This window comes from Homo sapiens, chromosome 17 (assembly GCF_000001405.40).
Source record: "Homo sapiens chromosome 17, GRCh38.p14 Primary Assembly".
Classification (NCBI taxonomy): Eukaryota; Metazoa; Chordata; class Mammalia; order Primates; family Hominidae; genus Homo; species Homo sapiens.
Window position 1 is genome coordinate 75,417,473 of NC_000017.11, and position 26,535 is coordinate 75,444,007.

The 26,535-nt window shown below is 47.3% G+C and overlaps 1 annotated feature.

The window, feature by feature from the left end:
- Positions 9,273-9,332: an enhancer, noted in NCBI's record as "active region_12763". NCBI's record gives its function as "activates an Ori minimal core promoter by ATAC-STARR-seq in GM12878 lymphoblastoid cells {active_cell/tissue: GM12878}" and the evidence as "EXISTENCE:reporter gene assay evidence [ECO:0000049][PMID:35858748]".

Genomic DNA, 26,535 nt, shown 5'->3' on the forward strand with positions numbered 1-26,535 from the left:
CATTAGCAACTTTAGCAACTTAATACTAGGAAGTCTCTCCAACGTTGGTTTTTATAAAATTAAAAATATTTCAGGCCAGAAGCGGTGGCTCACGCCTGTAATCCCAGCAATTTGGGAGGCTGAAGTGGGAGGATTGCTTGAGGCCAAGAGTTCCAGACCAACCTAGGCAACCTAGCAAGGCCCTTGTCTCTACAAAAATTCAAAAAAATTAGCCGGGTATGGTGGCATGCACCTGTGGTCCCAGCTACTCAGGAGACTGAGGTGGGAGTATTGCTTAAGCCTGGGAGGTTAAGGCTGCAGTGAACTGTGATCATGGCACTGCCTGGGTGACAGATCAAGACCCTGTCTCAAAAATAAATAAATAAATAAATAAATAAAAATTTCAGTAGCCATGCATGGTGGCACATGCCTGTAGTCCCAGCTACTCAGGAGGCTGAAGTGGGAGGATCACTTGAGTCCAGGAGTTCAAGGCTGCAGTGTGCTATGATCATGCCTGTGAACAACCATTGCACTCCAGCCTGGGTAACATAACAAGACTCCATCTCTACACCAAGTTTAAAAACTAATGCAAAATAAAAATATTTCACTGACAAAGTTTGTATATATTCAAGGTGTACATTGTGATGATCTATGTATAAGTCGTGTAATGATTATCACAAATTAACACATTCACCACCACCTACGCTGTACATTAGATCCCCAGAACTTGTTTATTTTAAAATAGCAAAATATTATCCCTATGAGATTCTCCCTTTTCTTCTCCTTAACATCTCCCGCTAAAAAAAAAAATTCAGGCCAGGCGTGGTGGCTCACACCTGTAATCCCAGCACTTTGGGAGGTGGAGGCAGGCAGACCACCTGAGGTCAGGAGTTTGAGACCAGGCTGACCAACATAGAGAAACTCTGTCTCTACTAAAAATACAAAATTAGCCGGGCATGGTGGCGCATGCCTGTAATCCCAGCTACTTGGGAGGCTGAGGCAGGAGAATCAGTTGAACCTGGGAGGCGGAGGTTGCAGTGAGCTGAGATCATGCCATTGCACTCCAGCCTGGGTGACAGAGCAAGACTCCATCTCCGAAAAAAAAACGAAAGCATGGGAGAAAGAGGAACAATGAGCAGCGAGGATAAGCTATTCTTTTTCAGAGTTTTGCTATAAAACAGAGCAGAGCAAAGAGTGGGAGTTGGAGGGCTAAGGAAGGGATTTTAAATATGGGGCCAACTACAGCATGTTTTGTGTGCCGAAGGGAATATCTAGAAGAGGAGAAACTCAGCTATGAGAGAGAGGAGAGAATTGAGGAACAAAATGTTTGCACTTCCTACATTTCCATGGACAAGAAGTAGCATCTCAGGCCAGGCACTGGGGCTCATGCCTGTAATCTCAGCACTTTGGGAGTCTGAGGCGGAAGGATGGCTTGAGCCCAGGAGTTCAAGACCAGCCTGGGCAACATTGTGAGACCCCATCTCTATAAAATGTAAAAAAAAAATTAGCCAGCCATGGTGGCATGCACCTGTGGTCCCAGTTACTTGGGAGGCTGAGGTGGGAGGATTGCTTGAGCCCAGGAGTTTGAGGCTGCAGTGAGCTGACATCATGCCACTATACTCCAGCTTGGGCAACAGAATGAGACCCTGTCTCAAAAAAGAAAAAAAAAAAGGAAGCATTTCTGAGAACAGAGCTAGGTTGGTGGGTAGCAGTGGTGGCAGGAAGATGTAATCTTTCTAGATATTTCTGTTCTGACGGCTTCCATTCTCTCAGCTGAATTAATGAGAACACCTGTGGTGGGGATGGCAAAGCCTGGAGGAGGTGTGAAAAGACCAGGAGGCTTGAAACTATCCTTTTGGACAGTGGGGGAGCAATAGATTCAGGAGACATTGCAGGCAGTGCTAAGGTCCAACTCAGACTTATGGTTGTAAATTTCTTTTTTTTTTTCCGAGACGGAGGCTTGCTCTGTTGCCCAGGCTGGAGTGCAGTGGCACAATCTTGGCTCACTGCAAGCTCCGCCTCCTGGGTTCATGCCATTCTCCTGCCTCAGCCTCCCGAGTAGCTGGGACTACAGGCGCCCGCCACCACGCCCGGCTAATTTTTGTATTTTTAGTAGAGACGGGGTTTCACCTTGTTAGCCAGGATGGTCTTGATCTCCTGACCTCGTGATCCACCCGCCTCGGCCTCCCAAAGTTCTGGGATTACAGGCGTGAGCCACTGCGCCTGGCCTCGGTGGTTGTAAATTTCAAAAGGCTGCTCAGCCTAGTTGAGTGTGGTTTTTTTATTTTTTTAAGACGGAGTCTTGCTCTGTCGCCCAGACTGGAGTGCAGTGGTGCAATCTCGGTTCATTGCAAGCTCTGCCTCCCATGTTTACGCCATTCTCCTGCCTCAGCCTCCCAACATGCTGGGATTACACGCATGAGCCACTGCGCCCGGCCAGTTGAGTGTGTTTTTAACCTAGTTGGTTTTTTTTTTTTTTTTCTGTTTTATTTTACCTGATGTCTACAACAACAACTAGTTGTGTATGTGTTTTTTTTTTGTAGTTTTTTTGTTTTGTTTTGTTTTGATTTTTTGAGACGAGGTCTTGCTCTGTTGCCCAGGCTGGAGTGCAGGGGCATGATCTCAGCTCACTGCAACCTCTGCCTCCTGGGTTCAAGCAATTCTCCTGCCTCAGCCTCCTGAGTAGATGCGATTACAGACGCCTGCCACCACGCCAGGCTAATTTTTGTATTTCTAGTAGAGACAGGGTTTCGCCATGTTGGCCAGGCTGGTCTCGAATTCCTGACCTCAGGTCACCCTCCCACCTCGGGCTCCCAAAGTGTTGGGATTACAGGCATGAGCCACTGTGCCTGACCTAGTTGTATTCTCCTTTTTTATTTTATTTTATTTATTTTTATTTTTTTGGTAGGAGGGAGATGCAGTCTCACCCTGTTGCCAGGCTGGAGTGCAGTAGCACTATCTCAGTTCACTGCAACCTCTGCCTCCCGGGTTCAAGCAATTCTCCTGCCTTAGCCTCCCGAGTAGCTGGGACTACAGGCACATGCCACCACGCCCGGCTAAATTTTTTTTTGTATTTTAGTAGGGACAGGGTTTTACCACGTTGCCCAGGCTGGTCTCGAACTCCTGAGCTCAGGCAATCCCCCCCGCCTTGGCCTCCCAAAGTGCTGAGATTACAAGCATGAGCCACCACGCCCGGCCTTTGTTCTTAACCAGTCAAATTCAGTGGCCTGGTTGCAGACACGGAGCAGGCATAGATTCTGGTTTAACCAGGTTAGGGTTTTGCCAACTTGATATCACCCGAGGAGAGAGGGCTCAGAGTGTTGAGGATGTGTGTGCAAGGCAGCAGGTACAGCGCTGGAGCATGAAACCCAAGCCCAATGAAAAACAGAAAGGGAGGATTTGGGCACGTTTAATGGCTATGGAGTTTCAATGTGAGATGATGAAAAAGTTCTGGAGATGGACAATGGTGATGGTTGCATAATGATGTGAAGTTAACTGACATTAAATTAATGTCAGTTAATTGTATACTTAAAAAGGTTAAAATGGCAAATTTTATGTACATTATACCATAATAAGTTTTTCAAATATTAAAATTGGTTAGGCACAGTGATTCGTGCCTGTAATCTCAGCACTTTGGGAGGCCAAGGTGGGCAGATCACTTCAGCCCAGGAGTTTGAGACCAGCCTGGCCAATGTAGTGAAACCCCATCTCTACTAAAAATACAAAAAATATCCAGGCATGGTGGCGCATGCCTGTAATCCCAGCTACTCAGGAGGCTGAGGCAGGAGAATCTCCTGAACCCAGGAGGCAGCGTTTGCAGTGAGTGGAGATCGTGTCACTGCACTCGGCCTGGGTGACACAGCAAGGCTCTGTCTCAAAAAAATCCCAAAAATAGGCCGGGTGTGGTGGCTCAAGACTGTAATCCCAGCACTTTGGGAGGCCGAGGCGGGTGGATCACAAGGTCAGGAGATCGAGACCATCCTGGCTAACACGGTGAAACCTCATCTCTACTAAAAATACAAAAAATTAGCCGGGCATGGTGGCGGGCACCTGTAGTCCCAACTGCTAGGGGTGCTAAGGCAGGAGAATGGCGTGAACCTGGGAGGCGGAGCTTGCAGTGAGATGAGATTGCGCCACTGCACTCCAGCCTGGGTGACAGAGCAAGACTCTGTCTCAAAAAAAAAAAAAATCCCAAAAATATTAAAATTAAAAAAAATTTGTTTTTGATGGCCAGGTGCAGTGGCTAACGCCTGTAATCTCAGCACTTTGGGAGGCCAAAGCAGGTGGATCACCTGAGGTTAAGAGTTCAAGACCAGCTTGGCCAACATGATGAAACCCTGTCTCTACTAAAAATACAAAAAATTAGCTGGGCATGGTGGCGGGTGACATAATCCCAGCTACTTGGGAGGCTGAGGCAGGAGAATCGCTTGAATGAAGGAGGTGGAGGTTGCAGTGAGCCGAGATTGCATCACTGCACTCCAGCCTGGGCAACAAGAGCAAAACTCTGTCTCAAAAACAAAACCAAAAAAAACCCCAAGAATTGTTTTTGAGACAGGGCCTCATTCTATTGCATGTGCTGGAGTTTAGTGCTACAATCATGGCTCACTGCAGCCTGGAACTCCTGGGCTCAGGCGATCCTCCCATTTTAGGCTTCTAAGTAGCTGGGACTACAGGGTCACGCCATCGTGGTTTGCTCATCATTTTGTATTTTTTGTAGAAATGAGGTTTTGCCATATTGCCCAGGCTGGTCTTGAACTCCTGAGCTCAAGCCATACACCCGCCTTGGCCTCCCAAAGTGCTGGGATTCCAGGTGTGAGGCACCACGACCAGCCAATATTAAAATTTAAAAAAATATTGATATCTGGCCCCATCTCAGATAAATCAGAATCTCTGGGGTTGGAGCCTAAACATCAGTATTTTATTTTTTATTTTTGGAGACAATGTCTCACTCTGTAGCCCAAGCTGGAGTGCAGTGGTGTAATCATAGCTCACTGAAGCCTCGAACTCCTGGGCTCAAATGATCCTCCCACCTTAACCTCCCGAGTAGCTAGGACTACAAGAATGCACCATCACACCCAACTAATTCATTTTTTTTTTATTTTTAGAAACAGGGTCTTACTATGTCGCTCAGGCTGGTCTTGCAATCCTCCCATCTCAGCTTCCTGTGTAGCTGGAATTACAGGCATGAGCTACCACACCCTCAACATCAGTATTTTAATAGACTATGGAATTGCTGAATTAGTACATTTTCTTTCACTCATTCATTCAACAAACACATACTGAATGTGCATTATGAGCCAGGCACACCACCAGGCACTAGGGATGCATGAGTGAATTAAAAAGGACAGGGTTGGGCCAGGGCGCAGTGACTCACGCCTGTAATCTCAGCACTTTGGGAGGCCGAGGCGGGTGGATCCCTTGAGCTCAAGAGTTTGGGACCAGCCTGGGCAACATGGTGAAACCCCATCTCTACTAAAATTACAAAAATTAGCCAAGTATGGTGGTGCGTACCTGTAGTTGCAGCTACTCAGGAGGCCAAGGTAGGAGGACTGCCTGAGCCCTGGAAGTCAAGGCTGCAGTGAGCCAAAATTGTACCACTGCACTCCAGCCTGGGCAACAGAGTAAGACCCTGTCTAATAAATAAATAAATAAAAGGACAGGGTTCCTGCCCTCTTGGAGCTTACAATCACATGAGGAAAGGTGAGCAACAAGCAACAAGCCAGTAAACAAATATGATTTAATTACGATTTTTTTTTGAGATGGAGTCTTGCTGTGTGGCCCAGGCTGCAGTGCAATGGCACAATCTCAGCTCACTGCAACCTCCGCCTCCTGGGTTCAAGTGATTCTCCTGCCTCAGCCTCCTGAGTAGCTGGGACTACAGGCACCCGTCACCATACCCAGCTAATTTTTGTATTTTTAGTACAGACGGGGGTCTCACCAGCTTGGCCAGGCTGGTCTCGAACTCCTGACTTCAGGTGATCCACCCACCACGGCCTCCCAAAGTGCTGGGATTACAAGGGTGAGCCACCGCGCTTGGCCTAATTACAAATTTAGAAGCCTGTTTCAACTATCTAAGTGGACTTGAACCAAGAAGGGGGATTAGAGATCCACCTTGATCTCCGTTGGAGGCATTGGAGATGCCGTGGGATGGGTGGACTTGAGATATTACTGTAGGGAGAAAACACAGGTGGCAGGGTTGGAAATGAGAGGTGAGTGAGAGTGAGAAGCAGGACGACATCCAGGTTTACAGCTTGAGCACTAGAGGACCAACCCGAGAGACACAGTGAAATAAGAACAGGATTTAATGTAGGAGAGACGGTTCCAGTGCCAACCAGCCGGTTCCCAGTGCTGAGTGAGGAATCTGTGACATGTCTTGTCACTTGTTTGTGACTTAATTTCTTCATCTGGAAAAGTGTTGATAATAATATATCTCAAAACAGGCCGGGCACGGTGTCTCATGCTTGTAATCCCAGCACTTTGGGAGGCTGAGGAGGGTGGATCACTTGAGGTCAGGAGTTTGACACCAGCCTGGCCAACATGGTGCCAACATGGTGCAACCCCGTCTCTACTACAAATACAAAAAAATTAGCCAGGCGTGGTGGTCGGCGCCTGTAATTTCAGCTACTTGGGAGGTTGAGGCAGGAGAATCCCTTGAACCTAGGAGGCGGAGGTTGCAGTGGGCTGAGATCATGCCAATGCACTCCAGCCTAGGCAACAGAGTGAGACTTCATCTCAAAATAGTAATAATAATAATATATCTCAAAACAGAGTTGACATGAAAATGAAACAAAATAAGACAATGCGTATTGGCTGGGTGTGGTGGCTCACACCTGTAATCCCAGCACTTTGGGAGGTCAAAGCAGGAGGATCTCTTGAGCCCAGAAATTTGACACCAGTCTGGGCAACACAATGAGATCCCGTTTCTCTTAAAAAAAAAAAAAAAAGATTATTTCTTTTTCTTTTCCTTTTTTTTTTTTTTTTGGAGACGGAGTCTCGCCCTGTCTCCCAGGCTGGAGTGCAATGGTGCAATCTTGGCTCACTGCGAGCTCCGCCTCCCAGGTTCACGCCATTCTCCTGCCTCAGCCTCCTGAGTAGCTGGGACTACAGGCGCCCGCCAAAACGCCTGGCTAATTTTTTTGTATTTTTAGTAGAGACGGGGTTTCACCATGTTAGCCAGGATGGTCTCGATCTCCTGACCTCGTGATCCGCCCGCCTCGGCCTCCCAAAGTGCTGGGAATATAGGCGTGAGCCACAGCACCCGGCCAAGTGTTGTAAAATGTTTCTTAATTGACTGGGCGTGGTGGCTCACACCTGTAATCCCAGCACTTTGGGAGGCTGAAACCTGCAGATCATCTGAGTTTGGGAGTTCAAGACCAGCTTGACCAATATGGAGAAACCCCGTCTCAACTAAAAATACAAAATTAGCCAGGCATGGTGGCACACGCCTGTAATCCCAGCTACTTGGGAGGCTGAGGCAGGAGAGTCAGTTGAAGCCGGGAGGTGGAGGTTGCGGTGAGCTGAGATTGCACCATTGCACCCCAGCCTGGGCAACAAGAGCGAAACTCCATCTCAAAAAAAAAATTTTTTTTTCTTAATTTTTACCTTTTAGACATTCTCCTCTCAATTTTCCCTTTCTTCGTCTTAACAATTCCACTTGGATCCACCGTTGTCATAGTTATTAAAAGCTTCTCAGACTGTATCTTTTAGCTGTTCTCTCCTGAGCATACCTGTATTGCCAGTCACCCAATGATCTCAAAACGCTTTGTAGATTACGACCATTATTTATTTTATTCTTCTTATTTTTTTTTTGAGACAGGGTCTCCCTCTGTCACCTGCCTTACCCTCCTTAGTAGCTGGGACTACAGGTGGGCACCACCACACCACACCCTGCTAATTTTTGTATTTTTAGTAGAGACTGGGTTTCTCCATGTTGCCCAGACTGGTCTTGAACTCCTGGGCTCAAGGGATCTGCCCACCTTGGCTTCCCAAAGTGTTGAGATTACAGGTGTGAGCCACTGTGCCCAGTGCCTTAAAGCTTTATAGAAAAAATAATGGCAGGCCGGGCACAGTGGCTCACACCTGTAATCCCAGCACTTTGGGAGGCCAAGGCAGGCAGGTCACCTGAGGTCAGGAGTTCGAGACCAGCCTCGCCAATGTGGAGAAACCCCGTCTCTACTAAAAATACAAAATTAGCCGGGTGTGGTGGCACATGCCTGTAATCCCAGCTACTCGGGAGGCTGAAGCAGGAGAATCACTTGAACCCGGGATGCGGAGGTTGCGGTAAGCCGAGATGGCGCCACTGCACTCCAGCCTGGGCAACAAGAATGAAACTCTGTCTCACAAAAAAAGAAAAGAAAAGAAAAGAAAAAATAATGGTCCGGAGCGGTGGCTCACACCTGTAATCCTAGCACTTTGGGAGGCCGAAGTGGGCAGATCACAAGATCAGGAGTTCGAGATCAGCCTGATCAACATGGTAAAACCCCGTCTCTACTAAAAATACAAAAATTAGCTGGATATGGTGGCAGGCCCCTGTAATCCCTGCTACTCGGGAGGCTGAGGCAGGAGAATCACTTGAACCTGGGAGGAGGAGCTGCAGTGAGCCGAGATCGCACCACTGCACTCCAGCCTGGGCAACGCAGTGAGACTCCGTCTTAAAAAAAAAGAAAGAAAGAAAGAAAAAAAATGTCTTAGGGCCCCTTTACAGAGAAAACATGCCACTCCAGCCTGTAGCTAAGCAGGTGTACCCCTGGTGGACAAGTGACTTACCCAGGACGATCACTGCCGAGGCCAGGATTTGGGAACATTCAAATGTAACTCGGTGGTTTCACATTTTACATGAAAGCATACTTCACGGTTTTAATTAGCAAGTGGAATAACTTCTACTTGCTCATGTTGTCAGCCCTACGTGTTGCCATCAACCACAGGGTAATTAGTGAGGGAAAGGATCAAGCGGCTTCTGTTGTGACAAAGAGTGCAGCATTTGTAGGTGATCCTTACCTAGGCTGGAAAATCGGGTACTTCCCTTGGTTGCCATTAGATGTCACTCGAGACAGGCAGGCATTTCCTCAGAGGTGGTTGTAGAACTAACTAACTGTAAAGGAATGCAGTCCTTTGGCTCCAAAAATGGATTCGACCTTGCTGCCCGGACTCGCCGCACTAGAAGTGCCAGGAAACGTTGTTTGATGGAGCGTGGAGGAAATATCCTGTTGCACCATATGTAATGGAAACCCTATTTCCCTGGAACCAAAACAGAATTCACGACCCAACAAGACTGCTCTCTCCCTCCCCCGCCAACCCCTAAATCTTTGTTAACCACAAGTTTCTTTTCTTTCTTTTTTTTTTGAGACCGAGTCTCGCTCTGTCACCCAGGCTGGAGTGCAGTGGCGCGATCTTGGCTCACCGTAAGCTCCGCCTCCTGGGTTCAAGCCATTCTCCTGCCTCAGCCTCCCGAGTAGCTGGGATTACAGGCGCCCACCACCACGCCCGGCTAATTTTTTTGTATTTTTAGTAGAGACGGGGTTTCACCGTTGTAGCCAGGATGGTCTTGATCTCCTGACCTCGTGATCCGCCGGCCTTGGCCTCCCAAAGTGCTGGGATTACATGCGTGAGCCACTGCGCCCGGCCAACCACAAGTTTCAATTCTTTGTGGTTACAAAAGAACAGAAATAATGTTTTCCCATTTACTTAATAAACTCAGAAGCTGCATTTTCTCTGCCTTCTATGAAACATATCTTCCCTTTCTACTAGACTCTTTTTTGGTTTTATGGCTCAAGGGCAGAAAGTTGTGGAATTTATTCTCTTTTCACTTCTAAAACATTTTCAGACTTAGATTGCTCAGTGGCAAAGTCTGATGTCTTCCTCTCTGGTTAGGATCCTGAATGTATGGACATTTTGTCTTAGGAGCAAAAATGAAATAATGCACACAGTGTGTTTAGCTCAGAGTCTAACCCTCAGCAAGCTCTTAAATGTAAGCTACAGCTGGGCACAGTGGCTCATGCCTGTAATCCCAGCACTTTGGGAGGAGGCCGAGGTGGGCGGATCACTTGAGGGCAGGAGTTCGAGACCAGCCTGGCCAACATGATGAAACCCTGTCTCTACTAAAAATACAAAAATTAGCCATGCGTGGTGGCAGGCACCTGTAATCCCAGCTACTTGGGAGGCTGAGGCAGGAGAATTGCTTGAACCCGGAAGGTGGAGATTGCAGTGAGCCGAGATTGCACCGTTGCACTACAGCCTGGGCAACAGAGCGAGACTCAGTCTCAAATGAAAAAAAAGTAAGCTACTACTACTACTGCTATTATTATTGTATGTCTGGATCATGACAGTAAGATAATTGCCAGTTAGAACCTAGAGGAACAAGATTGGTTGCAAGGATGCAAGCCTGCCCCAAGCCCCCACCCCCAAGGCATCTGGGCACCCTGAACCAGGCTGTCACCGGGAACAACCCCCTCTCCGAGCAATCTGACCACAGGAGAAGGTGAAGTAACGTGGCATAATGAAAACCAATAGTTTTGGTGGTAACAGACACTGTTTACTGGCTGTGTTTTATATGACAATACAGCTAAGGGTTTTTTTTTTTTTTTTTTTTTTTGAGATGGAGTCTCGCTGTGTCGCCCAGGCTGGAGTGCAATGGCGCAATCTCAGCTCACTGCAAGCTCCGCCTCCCAGGTTCACGCCATTCTCCTGCCTCAGCCTCCCGAATAGCTGGGACTACAGGCACCTGCCACCACGCCCGGCTAATTTTTTGTATTTTTAGTAGAGACGGGGTTTCACCGTGTTAGCCAGGATGGTCTTCATCTCCTGAGCTCGTCATCCACCCGCCTCGGCCTCCCAAAGTGCTGGGATTTACAGGCGTGAGCCACCGTGCCCGGCCTGGGTTTTAATTGGCAACTAGAATGTCCACTCTATTAAGCCTGTCTTTAACCCTTCTTATTACAAGCAATTAAATTAGGAGGAGAACTAACTCGTACAGAATACTGACTATGTTTTCGGGCCCTGTGCTGGACACTTGGCATAATTTCTCAACTAACTTCTGCAAACCTCAGAGTCCTCATCTATAATAATGTAAGGTGTGTGAGAAATAATTGATAATGTCCATTTTCCTGCTTTCTAGAGGCTTGTTTCATTTGCAAACAGGATAGGAGTGCTTGCATATCAATTCTAATGCTTCTGCTTTTCCAATCCTTTCTCTTTTTTGGCCTAGCTGAGTGTTTTATGAGACTTCACTCAGTCACAAAGCCCCCGGAAGTTTACCAATACTGCCTCTGTTCTGAGCTCCAAAGAAATCAAGCAACTTGCTTCCAAGTTCTGCTGGCAGCTTCTCTGGGGCTAACAATCAACCCGTTCCTGAATCTTTGGCCCTGCTCAAGAAATCAAATCTCCATCCTCTCCCAAATTAACATGAGCATTTGGTCTTTAGGAAAATTAAATCTCTATAAGTATCCTGAGCTAAGATCAATATAAATACCAGAACTGCCTAGCAACCAGAACGGATTACTCATTCTCTCTGATATTTAGCTGTGTCAGATGGGGAAAACCTTTTGCTTTATATAGCTGCGCTTACGTACACCCAGGCTGAAGATGAATCAGGGAAGCCGCTCCAAATGCAAGGGAAGTGAAAATAGAGTGAAAGACAGGAGGGATCCTTCCTGATATTCTGTGCAGAGAAAATTCTTCACCAGATTCCGTCCTGGTTTGGAGGCCATGAAAGGAGGGGCCTGAACCACAGGCCTCCGTGTAACTGAGGAGTTAGAAATTGAACACAAATAGAGGCCGGGCACAGTGGCTCACGCCTGTAATCCCAGCACTTTTGGAGGCTGAGGTGGGCGGATCACTTGAGGCCAGGAGTTTGAGATCAGCCTGGCCAACATGGCGAAACCCTGTATCTACTAAAAATACGAAAATTAGCCAGGTGTGGTGGTGCGCGTGTGTAATCCCAGCTACTTGGGAGGCTGAGGCATGAGAATTGCTTGGACCCGGGAGGCGGAGTTTGCAGTGAGCTGAGACCATGCCACTGCACTCCAGCCTGGGTGACACAGTGAGACTCCGTCTCAAAAAAAAAAAAAAAAAAAAAAAGAAAGAAAGAAAGAAATTAAACACAAATAGAAGATGAAAGAATTTGAACGTGCTTTCATTTAGTTTTAAAGGGACAAAGGCTTAGTGAACATCTTAAAGTACAAACTGTGATGAAAGACAACCACTGTTGCTTTCCCTATTTATTGGAAACCAGACAAATTCTAGCTTAGCAAATTCAGGTTAGATCAAGTGGGACCTTTTTGACGTGAGTTAAATACTGGAATGTGTTACTGAGGCTGCAGAATATCTTTCAGTTGCGGTGATTAGGTACCTGTTTTTTTGGCATAAGGTCGGAGGCAAGGCAGTGAACTCTCTAAGCTCTCTAAATATATTTAATATATTATATCTAAGCTCTGTAAATCTATAATAATACATAGTGGCCAGATGTGGTGGCTCATGCCTGTAATCCCAGCACTTTGGGAGGCTGAGGTAGGAGGATCGCTTGAGCCCAGGAGTTTGAGACCAGCCTGGGCAACATGGCGAAACCCTGTCTCTACAAAAAGTAGAAAAATTAGCCAGGCATGGTGGTGCCTGTGGTCCTAGCTACTTGGGAGGCTAAAGTAGGAGGATCATTTGAGCCCGGGAGGCGGAGGTTTCAGCGAGCCGAGATCATGTCACTGGACTCCAGCCTGGGTGACAAAGTGAGACCCTGTCTCGAAAAATAAATAAATAAATAAACATAGTTACCCTATTAACAGTGTGGCACAAATAGCCCTGTTTATCCAATAAACAGGTGTGCCTAGGACTTCAACAAGTTTAAATTTGTCAAGTCGATCATAGATAAATATAAGATCTGTACATTTTACAGAACAGAAGCTGGACTCCAGCAGCCAGGGGGAGAATGCAGGAAGGAATCCTTGCTCTTTTCACATAGCCTCTGATCATTGTCTCTTCCACACTGTCCTTGGGACTCTCTAGCAGCTGAAGGCAAAGCTATGTGACCCCAAGTATGTCTGTCCAGGAGGGAAGAAAAGCATCTAAACCCTAGGGGAATGTCGGCAATGTGGGCTTGGCAAATGGGGAATGCCGGGAATGAGACCACAGTCCACGGTTCAGATAGCCCAGTGTGGCTCGCCCCGCCCTGATATCCTTCATGAAAATGAAGCGAGGCGGCTCCTGGAGAGGGGCTCTCTGCTTTGGAAGCTGTAAATTCTGCTTCTGAATCATATTGCTTTTCTGAGCCCATGTGTCTTAATATAGCTAGAAAGATTTCATCCAGTCTGGCTCAGGCTGCAGAGAACTAAATATGTTGTCAAAATACTCCCTAAACTCAGGGTCCAACAAGACCACACAGGCAGCTGTCTTTATTATCACACTGTTCTGCCTAATACTTAGCAAAATATTTGTGAGAATGCTCCCATCGCGGTGCTCTTCAACATGAATTTCCCTTGGAGGTAGTTTTTTAAGTTAAAGAGAATTTCTGGGAGGATACTCATATATTAGTTGCCTCAGAGTAGGAAACCTAAGAGGTAGGGGACAGGGGTGGGAGAGTGACATATTTTTCACTGTATACCTCTTTATGTCTTTTTTTTTTTTTTTTTTGAGATGGAGTCTTGCTTTGTCATCCAGGCTGGAGTGCAGTGGCGCTATCTCAGCTCACTGCAACCTCTGCCTCCCGCATTCTCCTGCCTCAGCCTCCCTAGTAGCTGGGATTACAGGCGGCCACCACCATGCCTCGCTAATTTTTGTATTTTTGTAGAGACGGGGTTTCACCATGTTGGCCAGGCTGGTCTCAAAATTCCTGACCTCGTGATCCACCCACTTTAGCCTCCCAAAGTGCTGGGATTACAGGCGTGAGCCACCGCGCCCGGCCATTTCCCTGTCTTTTTTAGCTCTGGATTTAACTAATCATCACAACAACCTCATCTACCTTTTGCTGACCACTTCCTCCACATCTTCTGTTCATTATCTCATTTAACAAGCCAACGAGAAAGTTCCATTATTATTCAAATTCTACAGACAAGGAAACTGAGGCTTAGAAAGAAGTCCCTTTGTCAGTTAAGTATCAGATCTAGAATTCAAACTTGGGTCTGTCTGACTAGCCACAGCTTGTAACCCCCACACCTACTGCCTCAGTAGCTGTAAGAACACTGAAGTATTAAACTGCATCAAACACATTAGAAACTTTCTCGGCCGGGCGCGGTGGCTCACGCCTGTAATCCCAGCACTTTGGGAGGCCGAGGTGGGCGGATCACAAAGTCAGGAGATCGAGACTGTCCTGGCAAACATGGTGAAACCCCGTCTCTACTAAAAATACAAAAAATTAGCCGGGCATAGTGGTGGGTGCCTGTAATCCCAGCTACTCTGGAGGCTGAGGCAGGAGAATGGCGGGAACCCGGGAGGCGGAGCTTGTAGTGAGCCGCGATGGCGCCACTGCACTCCAGCCTGGGCGACAGAGCGAGACTCCGTCTAAAAAAAAAAAAAAAAAAAAACAACTTTCTAACACGTTTCAACCAATTTCCTGGCTGGTCCCAGTGCAGTGGTGTTTACAGCTAGTTGATCACAATCAGAGATTTTTATGTTCCTTCTCCAATCCCACTGCTTCACTTGACTAGCCTTTAAAAATAAATAAATAGGCTGGGCGTGGTGGCTCACGCCGGTAATCCCAGCACTTTGGGAGGCCGAGGCGGACAGATCACCTAAGGTCAGGAGTTTGAGACCAGCGTGGCCAACATGGCAAAACCCCACCTCTACTAAAAGTACAAAAATTAGCCGGGCATTGTGGCATGTGCCTGTAATCCCAGCTACTCAGGAGGCTGTGGCAGGAAAAGCTTGAACCCAGGAGGCCAAGGTTGCAGTGAGCCGAGATCGCACCACTGCACTCCAGCCTGGGCAACAAGAGCAAGACTCCGTCTCAACAATACGATACCATACGATATGATACAATACAACTCTAAAACACACTAAAGTGGCCGGGCGCAGTGGCTCACGCCTATAATCCCAGCACTTTGGGAGGCCGAGGCAGGCGGATCAAGAGGTCAGGAGATCGAGACCATCCTAGCTAACATGGTGAAATCTCATCTCTACTAAAAATACAAAAAATTAGCCAGGCGTGGTGGCGGGCACCTGTAGTCTTAGCTACTTGGGAGGCTGAGGCAGGAGAATAGTGTGAACCCGGGAGGAGGAGCTTGCGGTGAGCTGAGATAGCGCCACCGCACTCCAGCCTGGGCAACAGAGCGAGACTCCATCTCAAATAAATAAATAAATATAAATAAATAAAAAATAAAAGACACTAAAGAAGCACATTTAATGCATGCTCTTTGACAGCAAAGCTGGGTTTTCAGTACATGTCTTTTCATGTTGGAGACAAACTATTTCTGCAGGATTACTGGCCAGCCAGTTTACCAAAGTATGAGGTCTCTGGTCCCCTACAACCAAATCCTGAGCAAGGTCCCTCTTAGTGGGACACATCGTAAACAGCATTCAAACGGAAAGGGAAACCTTGGCTAGGGGCAGTGGCTTATTATGCCACTTTGGGAGGCCAAGGCAGGCGGATCACCTGAGGTCAGGAGTTCAAGACCAGCCTGACCAACATGGTGAAACCCCATTTCTACTAAAAATACAAAACTAGCCAGGCATGGTGGAGGGTGCCTGTAATCCCAGCTACTTGGGAGGCTGAGGCAGGAGAATTGCCTGAACCTGGGAGGCGGAGGTTGCAATAAGCTGAGATTGCACCACTGCACTCCAGCCTGGACAACAAGAGCGAAACTCCATCTAAAAAAAAAAAAAAAAGAGCTGTGAGAATCTTAGAAGCCCCATGAAAGGACAAACCCCTGCATTACTAGTAGTTTCTATGGACACAAGAAGAAAGGACAGGATTGCAATGAAAACTAACCAAGCAGCCCGCAATTCAAGAGGAGGCTGCAGAAGGCCAGGTGGAATAACAGCTGATAATATATCACACACTTGCACAAAGCTTCTGTCATCCAAAGATAGAACAGGGGTTTTACAAACAGCCATCAATTACTCCAACTTTTTGTGGTGAAAATCAAGGCAGGGATCTGGAAATCATGTTTAAATAAAGCTGCCTTCCTTACGGAGCTCATTCCTGCTGTTAGAGGAGGCTTTATAAGCGTATTCTTGATAGTCTTTGCAGTTCAAAAGTATCTCCACGTGCATGATTTCATCTGAGTGAGCAAGCGTCCTGTCTTCCTCTAGTGCTGGTATCCAATACCCTCTCTCTCTACATGCCCCAACAAATAACCAAGTGAGGTGGGCTGCCTTGGAATAGCAGCCCCTGGAAGGCAGCAGCAAGCAGGGTTCCAAGTCTGCAGGCTCTGACCAGGGTAGAACATCTGGGGAGATAGACTTGATTTCAAACAATGAGGGTCATGGTGATTCAGTGTTGGCACTAGAACAAAATGTAGGAGAGATTTCTCCCACCTTCAAAGTTTGCATCCATGATGCCCTTTTTTTTTTTTTTTTGATATGGAGTTTCACTCTGCTGTCTGGGCTACAGTGTAGTGGCGCAATCTTAGCTCACTGCAACCTCCGCCTCCGGGGTTCAAGCGATTCTCGTGCCTCAGCCTCCAGAATAGCTGGGATTACAGGCATGTGTCGCCACGCACAGCTAATTTTTGTATTTTTAGTAGAGACAGGGTTTCACCATGTTGGCCAGGATGGTCTCAATCTGTTGACCTCGTGATCCACCCACCTCAGCTTCCCAAAGTTCTGGGATTACAGGCATAAGCCACCGCACCTGGCCTTATTTTTAAAATAAATAGAGACGTCCAACTCCTGGGCTCCAGCGATCCTCCTGCCTCAGCCTCTCAAAATGCTGGAATTATAGGCATGAGCCACTGCACCCGGCCAAATGTTTATTTTTTAGGAATATAATTTTTTTCCTAGGTTCAGCTGGTATTACAATGCTAAGAAGGAAGAAAAGCCTGTTGTGTATGTTTTTATATTTTAAAAATTTGGGTTTTTTTTCGAACTAGATAAATTTGGTCTTTATCATCTGTTGGATGCTCATGCTTGTGCCTGGCTCATTTCAAGAGCATGATGAATGAAAATTTTAAAGAGCAGGGCGGGAGAAATCTCTCTGACATTTTGTTTCAGCGCCGACACTGAGTCACCATTACCCTCATTTGTGGACCACAGATTTTAAAACATCTTTGACCAAGTTGTTCCTCTGCAACCTTGAATAGCCTGGTTGTATTTATTTATTTGAGATGGAGTCTTGCTCTGTCACCCAGGCTGGAGTGCAGTGGCGCAATCTCAGCTCACTGCAACCTCCGCCTCCCAGGTTCAAGCAATTCTCTGCCTCAGCCTCCAGAGTAGCTGGGATTACAGGTGCCCACCACCATGCCCGGCTAATTTATGTATTTTTAGTAGAGATGGGATTTCACCGTCTTCCAGGCTGGTCTTGAACTCCTGACCTCATGATCCACCCGCCTCAGCCTCCCAAAGTGCTGGGATTATAGGCGTGAGCTACCACGCCTGGCTAACTAGGTTGCTTATTAAGGACAAAGAAAACAAGGTTGCATACTGTACCTTCAAGTTAAGCTCGAATTTTCCCTTTTGGTCTGGAAGCTGGAATGGCATGTTCACATTGGCTGGGGTCACCAGGGGTGTGTGAAGCAAGCATCTGCTCCCTAAATAATGTGCCCTATCCTCTTGCAAACTCAGACAGCAATGGAAATCAGCCTAATGTCTCCCACTGTGGAAAGGGTGTGATGAATGACAAGCTTAGGGTTTATTTTCAGTGTCCACTCACAGTCCATTTATTGTGTGATACTGAATAAAACTACTTATCCTGGTTGTCCCACATTTCTGCCTTCCAGAACATGGATACGGTGTTGATACATCTGCAGGGATGTCTTAATAGGAAGAGAGGTCAGTGGTAGAAAGCCCTGTGAGTACTCAAAAAAAATGTGTGGGAATTCAAGGGTTTAGTACTAGAAAGGCAAATAGATCTGAACTTCAGTCTAATAAAGACATCCAAGGAGTTCTATTTTTTCTTTTTTTTGTTTTTGTTTTTGTTTTTTCTTTGAAACGGACTCTCATTCTGTTGCCCAGGCTGGAGTGTAGTGGCGTGATCTCGGCTCACTGCAACCTCCACCTCCCAGGTTCAAGCAGTTCTCCTGCCTCAGCCTCCCAAGTAGCTGGGATCACAGGTGCCTGCCACCAAGCCTGGCTAATTTTTGTATTTTTAGTAGAGATGGGGGGGAGTTTCACCATGTTGGTCAGTCTGGTCTTGAACTCCTGACCTTGTGATCTGCCCACCTAAGCCTCCCAAAGTGCTGGGGTTACAGGCGTGAGCCACTGAGCCCAGCTTTATTTACTTTTTTTTTTTTGAGACTGAGTCTCACACTGTCGCCCAGGCTGGAGTACAGTGGTGCGATCTCAGCTCCCTGCAACCTCCACTTCCCAGGTTCAAGCGATTCTCCTGCCTCAGCCTTCTGAGTAGCCAGGATTACAGGCGTGTGCCACCACGCCCGGATAATGTTTGTATTTTTTTTAGTAGAGATGGGTTTTCACCATGTTGGCCAGGCTGGTCTCGAACTCCTGACCTCAGATGATCCGCCCACCTTGGCCACCCAAAGTCTTGGGATTACAGGCATGAGCCGCTGTGCCCAGCCTGTAAGCCACCACGCCTGGCCCCAAGGAGTTATAAAGTTCATTCGTTTCTAAACCACACGCTAACCACACCCCATGATAAAATCAAAACAAAACCAAGGCAACAACTTGTGTCCCTCAGCCTTCTCTTCCTAGACAAACTGCTCAGCCACAGGGTATCTCTTCCTGAGCACAAGAGGACTGCTTTCCCAGAGAGAGAGCATCTCCATTTATTAGCTGACATCGCTTACAGTCATTGCTGTGCCAACTCACCCCTGACCCCATCCCCTCACCTGGAGAAAGTGGCAAAAAGGAATAGTGACAACTTGGACATCTGACACCACCAACCTGGCAAGGGACTGTCAAACGCTAAGCAGAGGCCAGGTGTGGTGGCTCACATCTGTAATCCCAACACTTTGTGAGGCTAAGGTGGGCGGATCACCTGAGATCAGGAATTGGAGACCAACCTGGCCAAAATGGCGAAATCCCATCTCTACTGAAAATACAAAAATTAGCCAGGCACGGTGATGGGCACCTGTAGTCCCAGCTACTGGGGAGGCTGAGGAAAGGATCCTGGGCAAAAAGTTGCACGTGAGCTGATACAAACACATCACTCCCCTTACACAAGGAGGAATAACCATATGGGGAAATGACCTTCCATAAGGAAGTGCAACAGGCAACAGTTATTCCTCTGGGGGCATCTTCCTTCTCGGGGCAACTCATCACCTCTCAGATTTGAGTATACTCAGAAGTGATCAGGCCATTGGGTCAGGCAGGTGCTAACTGTGCTAACCAGGAATCTTAAGACTGATGCATGAGGCTGGGCACGAGGGCTCATGCCTGTAATCCCAGCACTTCGGGAGGCTGAGGGCATATGGCTTGAGGCCAGGAGTTTGAGACCAGCCTGGGCAATGTGGCGAAACCCCACCTCTTACAAAAACTAAAAAAAGAGTTAGTCAAGTGTGGTGGCTTGCACCTGTAATCCCAGCTACTTGGGAGGCTGAGGTAGGAGGATCACTTGAGCCTGGAAAGTTGAGTCTGCAGTGAGCCATAATTGTGCCACTGCACTCCAGCCTGGGCAACAGAGCAAGACCTTGTCTCAAAATAAATAAATAATAAAAGAATAAAAAAAATTAGCTAGGTGTAGTGGCACCTGCCTGTAGTCCCAGTTACTGGGGAGGCTGAGGTGGGAGGATTGCTTGAGCCCAGGAGCTGGAGGCTGCCGTGGAGCTGCAATTGTGTCACTACACTCCAGCCTGAGTGACAGAGCCAAAACCCTGTCTCAAAAACGAAACAAAATACAACAAAAATATGTCAGGCATGGTAGTTCATGCCTCTAATCCCAGCACTTTGGGAGGCCGAGGAGGGCAGATCACTTGAGGTCAGGAGTTCAAGCCAGCCTGGTCAACATGGTGAAACCCCCATCTCTACTAAAAATACAAAAATTAGCTGGACGTGGTGGTGCACACTTGTAATCCCAGCTACTTGGGAAGCTGAGGCGGGAGGATCATTTGAACCAGGAGGTGGAGATTGCAGTGAGCCGAGATTGTGCTCCTGCATTCCAGTCTGGGTGACACAGCGAGAGTCCGTCTCTAAATAAATAAATAAAGACCAATGTATGAACACATTGGAGCCACAATTGTGCCACTGCATTCTGGCCTGAGCCACAGAGCAAAACTCTGTCTCTAAAAAAATTAAAAAGGCCGGGTGCGGAGGCTCACTCCTGTAATCCCACCACTTTGGGAGGCCAAGGCAGGCAAATCACCTGAGGTCAGGAATTCAAGACCAGCCTGGCCAACATGGTGAAACCCTGTCTCCACTAAAAATACAAAAATTAGCTGGGAGTGGTGGCGGGCGCCTGTAATCCCAGCTACTAGGGAGGCTGAGGTGGGCAAATCGCCTGGGGTCAGGAGTTCGAGACCAGCCTGGCCAACATGGCGAAACCCCGTCTCTACTAAAAATACAAAAATTAGCCGGGCGTTGTGGCATTTGCCTGTAATCCCAGCTGCTCGGGAGGCTGAGACAGGAGAATTGCTTGAACCTGGGAGGCGGAGGTTGCAGTGGGCAGAGATTGTGCCATTGCACTCCAGCCTGGGCAACAGAACGAGACTGCCTCTCAATAAATAAAATAAATAAATAAATACTGATGTATGAACCGAATAGATGACGAATTCCCTCACTACAGGAGGAGGTATAGCGAAGCAGTTAAGAACCTACCTCTTTACCCACATGACCCAGCAGTGCCACTCCTAGGCATCTACCCAGGAAAATGGAAAATACACGTCCACACAAAAACTCTTACATGAATGTTCATAGCAACATTACTCATAATAGCCAAAAAAAAAAAAAAAAAAAAAGGAAACAATCTAAATGTTCATCAACTAACTGATGAACAGGAAAACAAGTGTGATATATCCATATACTAGAATAGTATTCAGCCCTAAAGAGGAATGGAATGCTGATACATGTTATGACATGGATGAACCTTGAAAGCATCATGCTAAGTGACAGAAGCCAGGTGCAAAAGTCCACATAGTATATGATTCCATTTATATGAAATGTCCTAAATAGAAAAATCCATGGCCGGGCACGGTATCTCACGCCTGTAATCCCAGCACTTTGGGAGGCCGAGGTAGGCGAATCACCTGAGGTCAGGAGTTCGAGACCAGCCTCACCAACATGGCAAAACCCTGTCTCTACTAAATACAAAAAATTAGCCAGGCATGGTGGCGGATGCCTGTAATCTCAGCTACTTGGGAGGCTGAGGCAGGAGGATTGCTTGAACCTGGGAGGCAGAGGTTGCAGTGAGCCGAGATTGCGCCATTGCACTCCAGCATGGGCAAGAAGAACGAAACTCCGTCTCAAAAAAAAAAATAAATAAATAAATAGAAACATCCACAAAGACAGAAAGTAGACTAGTGATGGCCTGGGCTGGGGGAGGCAGTGACGGGGAAATAGAAATGACTGCTCAGGGGTGCAGGGTTTCTTTTTTGAGGTGACACAAACATTCTAAAATTGGTTGTGGTGATGGTTACCCAATTTTGTGAATATTCTAAGTGTCATTGACTGGTATACTTTATTTTATTTTATTTGAGACGGGGTGCAGTGGCACAACCTTGGCTCACTGCCACCTGTGCCTCCCAGGCTCAAGCGATCCTCCCACCTCAGCCTCCCAATAGCCGGGACTTCAGGCGTGTACCACAATGCCTGGCTAGTTTTTTGGTATTTTTGGTAGAGATGGGGTTTTGCCATGTTGCTCAGGCTGGTCTTGAACCCCTGAGTTCATGCGATCCACCCACCTTGGCCTACTAAAGTGCTAGGATTACAGATGTGAGCCACTGCACCTGGCCAGACTGGCACACTTTAAATGGGTGAGTTGTATGGTATGTGGATTGTATTTCAACAAAGCTGTTTAACCCTTTTCCTGTTTGCCCAGAGAATACTTGTTGATGCTTGCGGCTGTAGTGTTTACCCTGAGATAATGTTGCAATGAAATATCTCATTTTTATTATTATTTTCATATCACTCTAGTATATTGACATTAGAAACAAAAGACATCATTCTATTTACAGCATTCTAGTTTTAGTAGTGGTATTTCCATCTACAAAATATAGTAATCCTTGGCCGGGCGCGGTGGCTCATGCCTGTAATCCCAGCACTTTGGGAGGCTGAGGTGGGCGGATCACCTGAGGTCGGGAGTTCGAGACCAGCCTGACCAACATGGAAAAAACCCATCTCTACTAAAAATACAAAATTAGCCTGGCGTGGTGGCACATGCCTGTAATCCCAGCTACTTGGGAGGCTGAGGCAGGAGAATCGCTTGAACCTGGGAGGCGGAGGTTGCGGTAAGCTGAGATTGCACCATTGCACTCCAGCCCGGGCAACAAGAGCGAAACTCCATCTCAAAAAAAAAAAAAGTAATCCTCGATCGCTGAAAATGTCAAATCCTAGAAAACATAGCATTCCTACAAGTGATGTTAACATGTTCTCAAACAGTTGTTGGCCAAAGATTCATTTGATGAATTTGATTTTTCTGAAATAGATGATTTGGATGATTCAGACAGTTCTGATATTAGTTCTGTTTAGAAATAAATCCAAGAACAGTTTTTATATTTTATTTTCACATTGAAAATCAATCAGATGGCTGGGCACGGTGGCTCACGCTTGTAATCCCAGCACTTTGGGAGGCCGAGGCAGGCAGATCACAAGTTCAGGAGTTCAAGAACAGCCTGGCCAACGTAGTGAAACTCCCTCTCTACTAAAAATACAAAAATCAGCTGGGCATGGTGGCGGGTGCCTGTAATCCCAGCTACTCGGGAGGCTGAGGCAGGAAAATCGCTTGAACCTGGCAGGCGGAGGTTGCAGTGAGCCGAGATTGCGCCACTGCACTCCAGCCTGGGTGACAGAGCTAGACTCCATCTCAAAAAAAAAAAAAAAAAAATCAATCAGATTTCCTTCAGCCTCAAAGAGCATGTTTATGTAGAATTAAATCAGGGCTGGCAGCGAGCTGCACTTTTTTCTACTAAACAGGAAAAGGGTTAAAAAAAAAGACTCTGGCCTCAGTTTTTTCATCTCTGAAATGGAGATGATAGTTATTATATAAAGCACTTAGAACAGTGTGTAGTACATAGTAAGCCCTACATAATGGTTAACTATTACTGATATTATTATCATTACTGATATGTGTCTCCTAGGACACCCCTTAGCTGGTTTTAAGGCCCTCAAAAAGCTGAGTCAAAAGAATGCTTAGAAAGCACAAAGTCAGAAGTACGTGGACGTCCTTGTGGGATACTGCATCAGACCTTGGAAAGCCCTTCATTCTCTCATCTGTCAGTTATATGAATATGTGCCAGGCACTGCTCTTAGTGCTGGGAAAACAACAATGACCAAAATAGACACAATTTCCTGCTCGTATGAAGCTTTTATCTTAGTAGAGGAAGACTGAAAATGAACAAATAAACAAACAAAAAAATGGAGCAGGCGGAGATCAATATTCCGAAAAAACAAAAAGCAGGATGGAAACCGGGGAGCACGTTAGGTTGAGAGTCGAGGGAGTCCCCTCAGAGAAGGGGACATTCTGATCCTGAAAATGTCCTGGAGAAGGGCATTCTGGCTGTGGGAATAGCTGCTGCAAAGGTCCTGAAGAAGGAATGCACCAGGTATGTGGCAGGAAAAGAGAGAAGGCCAGTGTGGCTGGAATGTGTTGAGCTTGGAGGCAAGGAGTGGTGGGAAGCAAGGATGAAAACATAGGAAAAGCCTGCAGGTCATATGTGACAGCTGACTCCACGAGGGCCTCCGGTGAGCCCTGCCTTATTTTATTAATTTATTTGTTTTTTGAAGACAGAATCTCACTCTGTCACCCAGGCTAGCGTGCAGTGGAGCAATCTCGGCTCACTGCAACCTCTGCCTCCCAGCTTCAAGCGATTCTCCTGCCTCAGCTTCCCAAGTAGCTGGGAATACAGGTGCGCGACACTACCACCCAGCTAATTTTTGTATTTTTATTAGAGACGGGGTTTCACTATGTTGGCCAGGCTGGTCTCGAACTCCTGATCTCAAGTGATCCGCCCGCCTCGGCCTCCCAAAGTGCTGGGATTACAGGCATGAGCCACCATGTCCAGCCAATCCCTGCCTCTTGGTGTTAACTCCCTGTGTGGTCCCCCTCCACATTGAACAGGGCTATCCTGTGTCCGATAGGATATTAGAGAAATGATGGGGTGTGGCCGGGCATGGTGGCTCACGCCTGTAATCCCAGCACTTTGGGAGGCCCAGGTGGGCAGATCACGAGGTCAGGAGATTGAGACCATCCTGGCTAACAGTGAAACCCCGTCTCTACTAAAAATACAAAAAAATTGTCCAGGTGTGGTGGCGGGTGCCTGTAGTCCCAGCTACTCGGGAGGCTGAGGCAGGAGAATGGCATGAACCCAGGAGGCGGAGCTTGCAGTGAGCCGGGAACTCCAGCCTGGGCGACAGAGCGAGACCCCGTCTCAGAAAAAAAAAAAGAGAGAAATGATGGGTTGTGACTTCCAGGGATAGATCCTAAGAGACATTGAGGCCTCCTCCTTGTTCTTGCTTGGATCATTTGCTCTGGGGGAAGCCAGAAGCCATGTCCTGAGGACACTCAAACAGCCCAGTGGAGAGTCCACATCATGGGAACTGAGGCCTCCTGTCAACACCCAGCATTAACTTTTCATGTGAGTGAGGCACCTTGGGTGTCCTAGCCCCAGCCAAGCCTTCCAATGACTGCAGCCCTGGCTGAGATCTTGACTTTAACCTCATGACCCCAGAGCCAGGATTAGCCATCAGAGCTGCTCCCAGATTCCTGACCCACAGAAACTGTCTGAGATAATAGATGTGTATTGTTTTTTTTAAACTCTCTCTCTTTAAATTTTTTTTCCTTTGCTTTTCCTGTAAGTCAGGAAACAAAGATACATGTATTTATTTACTTATTTTTTTTGAGACAGGGTCTCGCTCTGTCACCCAGGCTGGAATGCAGTGGCGCAATCTAGGTTCACTGTAACTTCCACCTCCTGGGCCCAAATGATCCTCCAACTTCAACCTCCCAAGTAGCTGGGACTACAGGCATGTGCCACCATGCCCAGCTAATTGTTGTAGTTTTTGTAGAGACAGGGTTTCATCATGTTTGCCAAGGTGGTCTGGAACTCCTGACCTCAGATAATCCATCTGCCTCAGCCTCCCAAAGTGCTGGGTTTACAGGCATGAGCCATCACGCCTGGCCCAGATTTGTATTGTTTACGGCACCAAATTCCAGGCCAATTTATTATGCAGTAATAGACTACCAATATACCATAAGGACTTGGGATTTTAGTCTAAGTATGATGGAATGCCATTTAAGGAGTTCATGCAGAGGAGGGTCATGACCTGACTTCTGGTGTGGAAAGACCTTCTGGCTACTGGGTGGAATCTGAATAATAGGGAGCTAGAGAAGAAGCAGGGGTCTAGTTAGGAGCTTTTTTTTTGAGACAGAGTTTCACTCTGTCACCCAGGCTGGAGTGCAGTGGCGCGATCTTGACTCACTGCAAACTCTGCCTCTCGGGTTCACACCATTCTCCTGCCTCAGCCTCCAGAGTAGCTGGGACTACAGGCGCCTGCGAGCACGCCCAGCTAATTTTTTGTATTTTTAGTAGAGACGGGGTTTCACCATGTTAGCCAGGATGGTCTCCATCTCCTGACCTCGTGATCCACCCGCCTCGGCCTCGCAAAGTGCTGGGATTACAGGTGTGAGCAACCACGCCCAGCCGGAGCTTTTTTTTTTTTTTTTTTTTTGAGATGGAGTCTTGCTCTGTCGCCCAGGCTGGAGTGCAGTGGCACAATCTCGGCTCACTGCAACCTCCAGCTCCCGGGTTCAAGTGATTCTCCTGCCTCAGCCTCCTGAGTAGCTGGGATTACAGGCGCCCACCACCACGCCTGGCTAATTTTTGTATTTTTAGTAGAGATGGGGTTTCACCATCTCAGCCAGGCTGGTCTTGAACTCCTAACTTCATGATCCACCCGCCTTGGCCTACCAAAGTGCTGGGATTACAGACATGAGCCACTGAGCCCAGCCTTTGTTTTTTTTTTTTTTGTTTTTGATTTTGAGACAGAGTCTCCCTCTATCGCCCAGGCTGGAGTGCAGTGGCATGATCTTGGCTCACTGCAACCTCTGCCTCCCGGGTTCAAGTGATTCTCCTGCCTCAGCTTCCTGAGTAGCTGGCACTACAGGCACATGCCACCACGCCCAGCTAATTTTTGGATTTTTAGTAGAGACGGGGTTTCACCATGTTGGCCAGGATGGTCTCGATCTCTTGGCCTCGTGATCCGCCCACTTTGGCTTCCCAAAGTGCTGGGATTACAGGTGTGAGCCACCACACCTGGTGTTAGGAGCTATTAAACTAGTACAACAGGTGTTGATGATGGCCGGGACCC